Source organism: Homo sapiens, chromosome 8 (genome assembly GCF_000001405.40).
Source record: "Homo sapiens chromosome 8, GRCh38.p14 Primary Assembly".
In the NCBI taxonomy this organism is placed as follows: domain Eukaryota; kingdom Metazoa; phylum Chordata; class Mammalia; order Primates; family Hominidae; genus Homo; species Homo sapiens.
Genome location: NC_000008.11, coordinates 35,579,842 through 35,593,882, shown reverse-complemented (window position 1 = coordinate 35,593,882; position 14,041 = coordinate 35,579,842). Strand labels below are relative to the sequence as shown.

At 38.4% G+C, this 14,041-nt stretch overlaps 1 protein-coding gene across 18 annotated transcripts in view, besides 1 other annotated feature; it reads right to left on the bottom strand.

Annotated features, from left to right (window-relative positions):
* UNC5D (unc-5 netrin receptor D) overlaps positions 1-14,041 on the bottom strand; it is a 561,066-nt gene that overhangs the window by 202,658 nt on the left and 344,367 nt on the right. The window lies entirely within an intron of this gene.
* Positions 9,503-10,007: an enhancer, noted in NCBI's record as "NANOG hESC enhancer chr8:35441394-35441898 (GRCh37/hg19 assembly coordinates)". NCBI's record gives its function as "activates a minimal SCP1, AML or CMV promoter by ChIP-STARR-seq in primed H9 embryonic stem cells {active_cell/tissue: H9 hESC(primed)}" and the evidence as "EXISTENCE:reporter gene assay evidence [ECO:0000049][PMID:30033119]".

Here is a 14,041-nt window from a genome sequence, read left to right as displayed (position 1 = left end):
ACTTGGTTATTTATCAGAACTATATCAAAATTAGTCTATCATAGAGCAAGAGTGACTTTAACATATAAGATGTCAGTTTGCTGATGAAGGAGCTGTTTTTTTTGTTTGTTTGTTTTGTTTTGGAGATAAGGCCTTGCTCCCGCCCAGGCTGGAATGCAATGGTGTGAACATAGCTCACCGTAACCTTGACCTTTCCAGGCTCAAGCTATCCTCCCACCTCAGCTTCCCAAGTAGCTAGGGCTACAGGTGTGTGACATCACACATGGCTACTTTTTAAAAAATTTTCTGTAGAAATGGGCAGATTGTCACTTCTTGCTTTGTTGCCCAGTCTGGTCTCCAACTCCTCCTCCGATCCTCCTGCCTTGGCCTCCCGAAATGCTTGGATTACAGGCATGAGCCACTGTGTCCGGCTTTTGTTTGGTTTGTTTGTTATTTTTGTTTTCCTTTTCCTTCATTGCTTTGTTTTCTGAAGGAAGTTTTGTTCAGTGCTGCTAAATGGTCATCCCAATTTTGACACCAATTAATCTGTATTCAGCCAGATAAAGTATAGAAAACATATAGTGCAAATTTCTATTTACATTCTACTTTTGTGTCCTTTCTTTGATCAATAGAAATAGAAAATGTAAAAAAATACTTAGTTTATGGCTATCTACACACCACTACATTAACTAAGTTATCAGGTGAAAAGACAACTGGAGAAATGTCATTTTTTTTCTCCCCATTCCAGCCTCTCAGCAAAATAGGTAAGTAAATACATACATATCTATTTATACACGTTTGTATAATTTACATATTTGTGTGTGTGTGTGTGTGTGTGTGTGTGTGTGTGTGTGTGTATAAAAACTACTGACAGTGGGACCTAGGAAACGGTATTACTCATAAACTAGAAACTTCAAGGAACTTCTAATAGATCTCACATAGGCAAGATTGGGTAGAAGAAAAGGCCAATCCAACCTGCTGCTCTTTCCAAATGACATTTGAAATGACTGGAAGAGTCCTAGCAAGACACACATTTCCCTCCCAAAGGTGTACATAAAAAGAACAAAGATTAAAGGCAATGACTGGGGGACAGGGAACAACTAGGGCACTATATATATCTGGATCCAACAGTGGTAACAGGCCGCCGACCTGTTAGGGAGCTGTAATGATCAGACATCATTATACCAAGTGAGAAACACAAGTATCATGGAGTCCTAGTTCTGGCTTGTACCTGATACTGGTGCCAGGACACTGACTACTAAGGAGGGCAAACTTTTGAATCCTAAGGAGGGTAAACTTACCAACAAATTCAAGTTAGCTACTAAATATAGTAGACATGATGGAAATAAACTCTTTAGACACAGAGGTATAGCTATGATTCTCACCATAGGGCACCCAGTCTAATTTGTTTCTGAATAGGCAATCTGAACACTTTAATCACCTATATGAGCTCCAAGCCTTGAAAGAAACGGACAGGAACTGATCCAATTTCTAATAGTAGGGAAAACATCCTTAGCCATATAACAAGAATTATACTACAAGAGAAGGAAACAAACCATAGAACCGAAAATAGATTTCTTCCTCTAAAAAGACATGAAGCAAGAGGCATATTTTTAGATAATTTCTAATTTTAGTTCTTTAAAGTCAAAAGGAAATAGCAACTGAGAATCTAGAGTAGAGAGTTATAAATAGGATAACATCTGAGATCAAGAAACCGCCACTATGAGGAAAGAAACTAACTGCTGATTTAGAAATATATAAATAAATATGGAGACAGTAAATAGCATATTGAATATTGCAGAAAACTGAACCACAAGACAGGCAGCATCAGTCAGGATGCATCAGAAAAACAGCAAGTACACCAATTGGTTTAACAGAAAATATTAATATAATGAAATTGGAAGATTAAGTAGGCAAAGGGGAAACCGCAGGAACATTGCAGGGAGCCTGGGCTTGGCAAAGGAGCTCCATACCCTTCTGCTCAATTTATAGATAGACCAGTTGGTATAGACATCGAAGATTGCTGTGTTGGTAACAGAGTAAGAAATGTCCTCTACTAGTGTGCTTATGGTGACTTGTTCTACATCTGTTTTCCTTGTTCTATCATCGGTTCTATGAAAGCAGGTTCTATGTCCTAGACTTTCACTCCTCTATTCCCAGTGCCTATTGTAATATCTGATACAGGGCAGGTTCTTAATAAATACCTGGTGAGTAAATGAGGTAAGGGGAAAGTGATAAAGTGACAATGAGATTGTCAGAGGGAGGATGAAATGAATGACAAAGTGGAGAAAGAGGAATACATTACATATAATAGGAATTTTAAAAGGACACAACAAGCTGAAGAAAAGAAACAAAAATCAATTTAATAATAATAATAATAGTTCTCTAAGCTAAAAAAGGACTTGAGTTTGCAAAATGACTCATTGGATATGAGGCAAACTAGCTTTAAAAAGAAACAACCCTAGATAGATCTTAGTTGAAACTGTTAATTTTAACAATATTAATAAAATGCAAAAGTAAATTTACAAGTATTTTTGCAGAAAACAAGCAAAAAGAATAATGGAACAAGAATATGGAATTTATTTCCTATATTTTTTATGTATCAGAGTATACTTAATCAAATTCTTTTTTATTTTTTGCTTTTTTTTTGTAAAAAGCATAGGAGCTAATTTTTTATTTGCAAACAAGTTAGTATTCATGAGTAACCTAACAACAATGTAGTGTCAGACATGATAGGACCATGAGATTGTAAGCAGCCACATACTCTTCCTGAAAACATTACCTTGTAAAATAAACTAACCAATGAAAAACAACTCAATGCAATAATTTCAGTATTTGGAAGTTGTCGGTTTTAAAAACCTGGCAATGGGCAATAAAAACACTTAAAAGTTTTAAACTTAAATACTTTTTATAATATAAGTAAAAATATTCACATAACTATCTAAGGGATCAGGGAAGAAAGATGCATAATATATCATAAATATGCATAACCAATGGTATGAACTTAAAATTGCTGGATCATAGATCTCAGGACCCCACCAGGCAGGAGTGGTCACCGGTGAGGAAGGTGGGGACCGCAGCTTGTGTTTTTGTTTGAATTTTGGGACCACCACTTACTCGTACCTTGACTCAGTAAGTATCCTCAATGTTTCTGCTTCAGCTTCCTCATCAGTGACATGAGGATAATAATACACATACATTTTGTTAAGACTAAATCCTGGTATATGTAAAGTCCGTTTAAGAGCACTGGTTGCTTCATAGAGGTCATGTATATTACTAGATCCTAAAGCCTTGATGATTAAAATGGGGTAGCTTTGTCATAAATCAGGCAAATTAACTATAAACCAGTGCATTTTTCAGAGACACTTAAATAAAAAGAATAATGCAGGATATGATTAAAGTGACACATAAATTAAGTGGGAAAAGGTATTAAGATGACTAGTTGCCCTTTTGGAGAAAAAAAATAAAACTAGATTAATGTCTTTATACCAAAATAAATCCTATATTAATAAGAAATATTTTTACATAAAACTACAGCAGTAATAAAATAAAATATTCATTGGATCTTAGGAAAAGGAAGGCTTTTCCAGACTTGAAATTAAAGATCCCTTAAGGGATTGATTGGTAGGTAGTGTTTTGTCAAAATTAAATTTTTTTTTTATCTAAAACATTATAAGCAACATCAAGGGCAGAGGGTTAACAGCCTTAATATATAAAGAGCTCTTATGAAACAAAATAAAAACAATACCCTCAAATAAAATGGCGAAGGGACGTGAAACAAAATTTATACAAGAAGAGATACAAGTGGCTAATAAAAATATCTAAAAGGACCAAATCACTAATTATTCAAGAAATGTCAAATTTTGGAACCATCAATATATGTCCTTCCTCTTGCAAGAGGCTTAGTTTTGTTTAAGTAATAATGCCCAAGGTTAGCAAGCATATAAGAAACAGTAATATTAAACACTGCTACAAGTGAAAATGGGCATACATGAAGAGCGAGCTGTAATGTGTTACTTCAAAAGTTCATAGATGAACAGTATGGCATTCTGTTTAGCAATAAAAAGGAAAGAATATTGATGCACGTTACAACATAGATGAATCTTAAAAATGCTATGCTAGGTGAAAGAAGCCATTCACAAAAGTCCACTTATTGTATGATTCGTTTATATGAAATATACAGAAGAGGTAAATCCATAGAGACAGAAAATAGATGAGTGGTTACCTAGGGCTGCAGCTGAGCAAGGAGTATGGGGAAGGACAGCAAAGAGAAGTAGTTTTGGTGGGTTTTTTATGTTGTGATGGAAATATTCTATAATTGACCCTGATGATGGTTATACAACTCTGTGAGTATACTAAAAACTACCAAATTGTACACTTTAAATAGGTAAACTGCATGGTATGTGGATTATATCTCAGTACAGTTATTATTAAAAAGAATTCATTCATATGGTTCAGTAATTCTACTTCTAAAGTTTTCTAAAAAAAAAAAAAAAAGATGAGAGCTCCACAGAAAAATGGATGCATAGTGGTATTGCTCAAATAATCATTTATAATGATGAACACTTGCTAATAACTTAATAATATAGGGGTGGTTAATTTTTTGGTGCATTCATACAATGGAACATTATGCAACCATTAAAAATCATAAGCTCAAAATATTTAAGATTACAGGTAAATATTCAGATTAAGTGCTAAATAAAATAGAGTGGAGTACATGATCTCTACCATATGCATGTTAGTAATAAAAATCACTCTCTCCCAAATGTAGTAATTGTATTATTATTAAATACATCTAATTCCAAAGTAAGTACACCTGCATTAAACACCTGTTTTGGCAGGTAATCCTTTTTTTTTTTTGAGATGAAGTCTTGCTCTTGTCGCCCAGGCTGGAGTGCAATGGCCCAATCTCAGCTCACTGCAACCTCTGCCTCCCAGATTCAAGCAATTCTCCTGCCTCAACCTCCTGAGTAGCTGGGATTACAAGCGTGTGCCACCACGTCTGGCTAAATTTTTTGTATTTTTAGTAGAGACGGGGTTTTGCCTTATTGGCCATGCTGGTCTTGAACTCCTGACCTCATGTGAGCCACCTGCCTTGGCCTCCCAAAGTGCTGGGATTACAGTCATGAGCCACTGCACCCAGCTGGTAGGTAATCCTTAATTTGCCTTCATGAGTTGTGTAGAAGTGCAATAGCCTTCTTCACTCACTCCCGCTGTTGACTCCCACTGGACACTGTGCCAGGCAATGGGGTACCTGACTGAACATGACACAGACTGCCCTGGCCTTCCCAGAGCATATGCTCTAGCAGGGTGACTAGCTATTAAACAAACAATTAAGAGGTATACATTTGAGTGATGAGATGGAGAAGTGGGAACTACCCTGTAAATGTAGCAGTGGGGCCCACATAAATCTAGTGATTGCAAAAAAGTTTCTCAGAGAGTAATATCTAAACTGAGGCAGAGAATCTCACAGGCCTAAAAACACACACCAGGTGCCATTTATAGTCTCAATCAGACTTGTACTGGCTTAAAGCATAACCACCATATCTCTTTCCTTTTAAACATATATACATATGCTCTCTCACTTTTTTCTTGCAAGTCTCTGCAAAATGCTTGCCTAGCTACCTCTCTTTCCTAAGTTTTCATATCACATGAGGACACTCTTTTATTAGACTTGTCTTCTATTCATGTATATTGAGAGGGTGGAGCATAAATAGATTTCCACCCTCTGATCTCACTCATAATCATGTGCACATGGTCTATGGGAAGAAGAAAAGCAGTCATTGTCACATTGTTCTGTATAAGGGAACTGAACCAAATTGCATACATATGCATAAAGATAGATTTTTAAATGTGGTTTAAAAATACAAAACCTTACCATCTGAAAATAGCAACTGGTGTGGGATTAGTATATATATATATATATATATATATATATTATTATAGTTATAGGAAAAACCCTAAAAAGAAATTACTAAACATTTTGAAGATTTTCCACTGGATGAAATTTGGTATATTAATTATCTCCTTTATCTGTTTCTGCATTTTCCAAAATTTCTGTAATGAATATGGATTACTTTCATAGCCACCAAAAATCACGTCCAAAAAAAGATCCCTTTCTTCTGAGTTGTCAAGCATCTCTGTACTAGACCAAACTGTATCAGAAGCCAGAAGAGAAGTACATCTTGTTTCATTTTATTGTACCAAGTTTCACTCCTACGATGTCTATCAAAGAAGGAAGCAAGGAAGATCATATCCTTCAAACTTTTCAGAATTGCAAATTCTGAAATACCCTTCTCTAATTTTATTTTAGTCATGGGAATCTGCACATGAGGGCAAAACTTTTCACTGGTTCTGTTTATTGCCATATTTCTGGCAGCTGGAAGATAGTGACTTAATACATATTTGTTGAATGAATGAATGAGCAAATGTAATTTCCCACTTCAACTCATCTGAATGATGACTATGAACTAATATGCAACGAAGTCTCTGGCAGTTAAGATGACTAGGAAAAGCAAAACCATGAACAGATATGTGCAATAGACTCTGCAATGATGCTAAAATAACACTTTCATTCATTGTCATCTTTACACACACATTGTGTGTGTGTGTGTGTGTGTTTGAATGGTACAATCATCAGCACAGATCAATTTGGAGCAGCACTCTGTCTAGTTCTGTTCCTTCTTCACCACATCACCCTGTTCAGTTCCACAGCAGAATGCCAACAAGACCCACAATGCCTGGAATCAAAGACAGCAGAAGTGAAGAGGAGGGAGAGGTGACAAAGCCGGGTACTTGGCTAACCTGTAAATCATATAACCAGCAACAGGATCATCCAGAGTCAGCAGTACCTGCCAATAAGTAGTATATCTGGGGCTAGACCTTGGGAAGCAGCAGCCTCCCCTTCCTCACCCCATGCCCTATTTGGCCTTTTTTGTCATTTTCCTTTCATGCTACTATGTTAGAAAAGTCATTGTAGCACAAGAAAATCAATAAAAATTCAATTCCAAATAATAGTTCTTTGCAGCTCAGCAACACCAGGGAGTTATCGGCTCATTCAATGTTCTGGCAGTTAATGCAATGAAATAAAAATAATTTACTCATTCAAACCAAATCAGCCAGTGAAAAATCATAGTCATTTTTTTAATAGTCATAGTCAAAGCCATTTGTTAAGATTCCAGGAGGATGGAATGATGTCCCATTAGTTGTCCAGCTACATTGGTATTCAAATAGGCTTTGAATCTTTGCCACCCATATTTCTCTGAAGGAACAACAAACCCCATTTGTCAGACATAAAAGAAAATTGTAACTTACCCAAATACAGAGTATTTATTGTAATAAAAGGGCTGGTTCACATGCAGGATGGGTGCATGCCAGCAAACCGGAAGTCAAGGCCTGGTGCTTCCATGTGGTTCCACCTCAATCCTCCAGCCCTGAGTTGTTATGACCTAAGAAGTCAGTTACTGGCTTCAGTTCCCGAGGGAAGGCACATAAAAGGCTTTCTGTTAGGTGAATTTTTTCCTCATTGTGATAGTCTTTTGTATTTGGCACATTATCTGCGCTCCTCCCGCAAGCGTGGCTTAAACCCTCTACCTTGCTTAGATCTATGTATTATGCACATTTCTTTTCTTTTCTTGAGTCTCACTTTGTCACCTAGGCTGGAGTGCAGTGGTGCAATCTTGGCTCACTGTAACCGCTGTTTCCCGGGTTCAAGTGATTGTCTTGTCTCAGCCTCTGGAGTAGCTGGGATTACAGGCATGTGCCACCATGCCTGGATAATTTTTGTATTTTTAGTAGAAACGGGGGTTTCTCCATGTTGGCCAGGGTGGTCTCGAACTCCTGACCTCAGGTGATCCACCCGCCTCGGCCTCCCAAAGTGCGGGGATTACAGATGTGAGCCACCATGCCTGGCTGACTCTGCACATTTCTTGACTGGCAGACCCATATTATTGATATTAGGCTGTTCCCACCTTTCATTTCATGTCTTTGTGTTAGATCTTCCAGTTCTTATTTCAGCTGTGTCTCCCTGAGTGATAACTGGCATTAAAGGACAATGCCACGTGTAGATTCCTATACATCTGGAACATATACATATATATGTGAATATAATATATATATTCCCCTTATTATTATATATTATATTCATTTTATTGTACCAAGTTTCACTGCTACAATGTCCATCAAAGAAGGAAGCAACAAAGATCATATCCTTCAAAGTTTAGTGAATTACAAATTCTAAAATGTTCTTTTTTAATTGTATTTTAGTCATAGGAATCTGCACATAGCACAAAACTTTTCATTGGTTCTGTTTATTGCCATATTTCTAGAATGAATATATATGTACATATATACACACACACACACACACACACACACATATTATGGTTGCAATAATATATTATATATATGACATCTTCCTGAAATTCCTGAATATTGCAACCATAACTCCTGTTCAGTAAATCTTACAGCAATAACGAAGAAAGGCCACCTTTGGACGGACGCCACTGAATCACCCTACAACTCTCCATGCACTCTCTTCTCTTGATGCCAGGCACTGAGCATTCTCTGCTTACTGGGACAGCAGGGTGTTTGGCTGATGCAAAAGGTCCTGTCATGCTGACGCTCCTCAAGGCTGTTTCTAGGACCATAAAATAACTTTGGGCCTTTGTGAGATCCCTTGTGCTCTGTAATCCCTCTGCTGGTAAATTGCTGTTATCAATAAAGCATTTTATAACTAGCACTGTGTATCATTATCCTGTGTTCACAAGTAGTGTAGCTTGTCAGGTAACAGTGGGGTTGCCAAGGTGATAGATATAGTTGTGCCTGCAGTAGGGACATATTATGCTGAGTAGAGACAGTTGTAGTTTTCCAAAATGCTTTAAGAACTAATTTAAAGTATTCTCTATTGAGCTACTCCCAACACAATAAGATCTATCGTGTTCAGCCTCTTTTGTTTATAAAAACAAAAATCATTCATATTCCAAAAAGAAATTGAGAATTTATTGAAAATTAGGAAGATAAAAATCTTAACGATGAGTTTAGGACTGACTGGAAACCAAGACAGACCAGGCTTGAAGAATAAGAAACACAATACAACTGTGTCTTACAAAGGCTATAACATAGCCAAACGAGGAGATAAAGAGATCCAGTTAGGGTCACGCATGGTGTCTTTTGCTTGTAATTCCAGGATTTGGGGAGGCCAAAGTGGGAGGATCTCTTCAGGCCAGGAGTTTGATACCAGCTTGGGCCACACAGTGAGACCCTCATCTCTCAAAAACAAACAAACAAACAAACAAAACCAGGAAAACAACAACAACAACAACAAAATAGGCTTGGGGGCGCATGCCTGTAGTCCCAGCTACTTGGGAGGCTGAGACAGGAGAATCGTGTGGGCCCAGGAGTTGGAAGCCACAGTGAGCTATAATCATGCCACTTCACTCCAGTCTGAAAGATGGAGTGAGATTCTGTCTCTATAAAACAAAACAAACAAAACAAAACAAAACAAAACAAACAAACAAAAAACAGGCCCAGTATAATTCTTTCCTCTGAGTTATTTCATGATCCTCTTAGCACACACATGGCCATGTCACTCCTGCCCTTCCTAACCAATCCCCTCTCGCTATTGCCCTAATGGTCTTAACTTTTCCGTCGATTGTATTCACTCATGGGTGCTGGTGTCTCAGGGCCACTGCCACCTGCTTCTTTTTTTGTGCCTTCTACCTTCAATTGTCACTACCAACTGCTGATTCTCTTTCAGGATGAGGTTATACTCAGAAGAGCAAAAATCTACAAGACAATAATCACTTAAATTCTTCTCAAGTGTATCTATCATACTGAGTCAATTCATGTGTCTATGTTGCCTGGGGGTAGATTCTTGGCCCCAAGGATACAACAGTGGGCACATGTGGCACCAGAATGATCAACCCTGCCTACGAAGCCACTCAGCACCATTTCCTTTGACAAGAAAATAATGGGTAGGAACCCCCCATAAGGAAACCATGCCTGTAGAAAGAAGGATTGCTGTTTGCTTTGTCTCCAAGTTCCATAGAAGGCAATTTCTGCATATTGACTGCATTGATTTGGTTGTGTCAATACATAAAGGACAGCTGAAGTTTAACGTAAATAGGAGATATTAACAATCTTCAACAGGAAAAGCCATTAACTAAAAATATAGAAATTCTCTGCTGCCTTGTTTTCAAGGCATTAAACCAAGGGAAAATACACTGATAACTCACATTTTGTATCTTTACATCATGTTCCACCAAAAGCTATAGGGACAAAATATCTGCAAGTTCCACATTCTGTACATTTGAGAGTACTGTTGTTCTACTTGCTGTGCTAATGAGAAAATCGAGTCCTAGGTGAATGCAGAAATAGCCACCAAATCAAAGTGTTTTTGATGGAAAACAAAAACAAAAGATCAGAGCCTGGAAGCACTGACTGCACTTAGGCTGCTCAGTTCCCAAGCAGGATATGGAAAGACTATGCTGGTCATATATATACATATACACACACTCAGGCACACACACATGCACACACACACACACTTTAGAGATTGGGTCTCTCTCTGTCACCCAAGTTGGAGTGCAGTGGTGCGATCATAGCTAACTACAGCTTAAAACTCCTGAGCTCAAGCAATACTACTGCCTCGGCCTCCCAAGAAGCTAGAACTACAGGCACATGCCATCAAGCCTGGCTAATTTTTAAATGTTTTTGTAGAGATGGGGTCTCACTATGTTGCCCAGGCTGGTCTCTAACTCCTGACCTCAAGTAATCTTCCTGCCTTAGCCTCCCAAAGTGGTGAGATTATAGTCATGAGCCACTGCACCCAGCCTGTGCTGTTCATCCTGTTGTCAAGTATCCCTTTTCTGAGACAGCTTAATTTCTACAACTCCTACAAGCAGTAATAGAGCTTATCTGCAGCTCAGCATCCAGCTGAGCACTGGAATGCAAAATGAACCCCATGGTTGAAGGGACAAAGTTTTAAAAACCACCTGGATGTGGAGAATCATCTCTGACTTTCCTGAGTGACCTCTGAGTCTTCTACAGGAAATTAGAGGGATGTGAACTAGCAACAAGTTTAAGAAGAAATGACCTAAAAATAACCTTAAGCTTTCAATACTCACCACCTCATTGTAATTCACTACCACTCCTGGAGAGGGATGAAAGGAAAACAAAGGGCTAGAAAAGAGTCAAAAAGAAAAGCCAACCCAGCAGCAAGAAAAAACAATTTAATCACATTATTAGTTTTTTGGTTCTTCCCTCATCCCACATCTCCATGAGGCCAGGAAGGTCAATCGGGACAAGATGAGGCCAGTGTCATGAGCATGTAAACACTGGATATGCCACTAAATATCTAACACCTCCTACCTCCAGCATGGCCTCACAGAACAACTGAGTGGAAGGAAGAAGGCTGCATTTTGCTTTCCTTAAGCCAATCTTGCCAGAACCAGGAAGATCTAAGGAACCACTTTCGCTCAAAGTTTTTCACCTTTTGGGTAGCCAAATCTATATTTTTTAAAAAATAAAACGACCCAGCAGAATGCAGATGAAACTATGAAGAACTGACAAGAAAGATGCAACCACTGCATCAGGAAGATGCTTTCCAGGAAAAGTGAATGAACAATGGCGGTGAAATAGGAGCTATCATGGGGATCTGAGAAAGAAATCACTGTGGCTGCAAGAGCCACAATGACTGGTGACTGGAAGCACTGTATAGTCAGGGAAGGGAAGAAAGACATGGGGGCTCATGCCTATGGGGCCAAAAGTTCAAAGTTTGGGAAGTCATGGTGTTCAACCATAGGAATAGCATGATCTGGTTTGCATTTTTCTTCAAGAGTAATCATTCTTGTTGCTGTGTAGAGAATGCATTTCAAGGCAGCAAGAGCAGAAGCAGCAAAGAGATTATCATAGGAGATAAATAATGTTTGTATCAGGTGGAGAGAAGAGGACAAATTCAGGATCTAGTTTGGAGGCAGAGGTGGCTGGACTTTTAGGTGAACAGGATGTGAATGAAGGAAAGAAAAGTCCAGGATACCCCTGGGTCTTGTCAGGAGCCCCTGTGGTCCCTTTACTGAATCAGGAAACACTGGGAAATAAACACAAATTTACAGCAATGATTTTTTTTTTCTTTTAATTTTTTTGTTTTTAATTATTATGGGTACATAAGAGGTACATATGTTTATGGAGTACATGTGATGTTTTGATACATGCTTACAATGTGTAATAATCCCATCAGCTTACTGGGATACCCATCATCTCAAGCATTTATTATTTCTTTGTGTTAAGAACATTCCAATTCCATTCTTTTAGTTATTTTAAAATATACAATAGTGTTCACCATAGTTCACATTGTTATGCTATCAAATACTAAATCTTATTCATTCTTTAACTACATTTTTATACCCATTAACTATCCCCACTTCCTCCACCATCACCCTGCAGCAGTATTGATGGAGTGAAAACCAAAAAAGTACTTTTTGGGACATAGCCAGTTTGAGACACCTACTGGATATCCAAGTGGATGTGTCAGGTAGGCAGTAGATGAAGAATTTGGGAGACAAGGTGCCACATTAAGGCTGAGCATGATCAGAATATAGACAGCAAACAAAGCCCTGGAGCGAAAGACTCCACCGAAAGAGAGGCTGGATTATGGAGGGAAGAGGCCTCAAGATGGAGATCTAGAATACTACAATATTTACAGGTGGGAAGAGAAGGAATCTGGACAGAAGATTCAACTGTGGTCAATGAGAAGAAGGAAAACCAGAAGACAGTAAAACCAAGCCCTCCTTCCAGAGATGAGGATTCTAAAGGTCCTGAGTGAGACCCTGGAATCTTAATTTTTAAAAGTTCCCCATGTGATTCTCATGTGTGGCCGGTATCAGGAGTCACTCTGAAAGTGCACAAAACTGAATAGTTGGTCCCAGAACTTGAACCCAGCTCTTCTGACCTCTACTTCCTCACTCTGTAACTCCTATTCCCTCTCTACACTTTTTAAAAATACAAGCCATTTCATCTTCATGCTGATATTAAATTCCCATCTATTCCTCAAATCATTAACTCTAGCTATTGTTCCAACTGTGCTCTCTTTAGTCAAACTTTGGGAAGGAGTTGACTACATCATCTCTGCTTTCTCCTCTCCTATAGATTCCTACATCCACACTAATCTCCTATCACCCTGGCTCATTACATTGTTTTGTTCAAGTCGATGGAGCCCTTCACGTCAAATGTAACAAAACTTCTCACTTCTTACTCCAATTGTCAGATCACATTGACACCACTGACCATTTCTTCCTTCATAAATCTTTCCCTTCTCCCTCATGGGTCTCCTAGTGCCTGTTCTACTTTTTTTTTTCTTTCAGTCTTATTCATGGGATTCTTCTCCTGTGTTCACCCCTTGACCATTTACAGATTTTCACTCATGTTCTGCTGGTTGTTTTTTTGTTTTTGTTTTTGTTTTTTTTCCTCATCAGCAATTTGAGAGCTGAGGACTAAGGTAGAGATTGTGTAGTACAGAAAAAAATGTAGCTAGTTCTCATAACAGCCTGCTCCTTCTATCTTCCTGACAGATGTCTACTCACCTAACTACCACCTACTTGCCAGTGACTCTCAATTCTGTATTTTTGATTCTGCTCTCATATCCTTGAAATTCAGGCTCATAAATACAACAGCATGATGAAAGCAGTCCATTGAATATTCCACAGGTAGTTCACACATGACATGATCAAAAACTAAAACCAGTATCTCATTCTTCAAACTGGTTTATTTTACCCTATTCATAACCTACTTAATGGAATAATTTGAGCCAGAAACCTAGCGAGCCCAAAACTTGGAGGAGTCCCCAAACTCCTCTCTTACTTCCCCTTAGTTCCATATCTAAGCAGCCATAAACTCTAGCTAATTTTACGTTCCTGAATCCTCACATTTGTACCTTCCTCTTCAACCTATGCTATGCCTGCAGAAGTTCAGGCCATATCAACACTCTCAAAGATTGGTGCAAAGCTTCCTTGAGTTGACTCTTGCTCCCCTTAAATCTTTGACAGCAGTGAATGGGAGGGTTGAG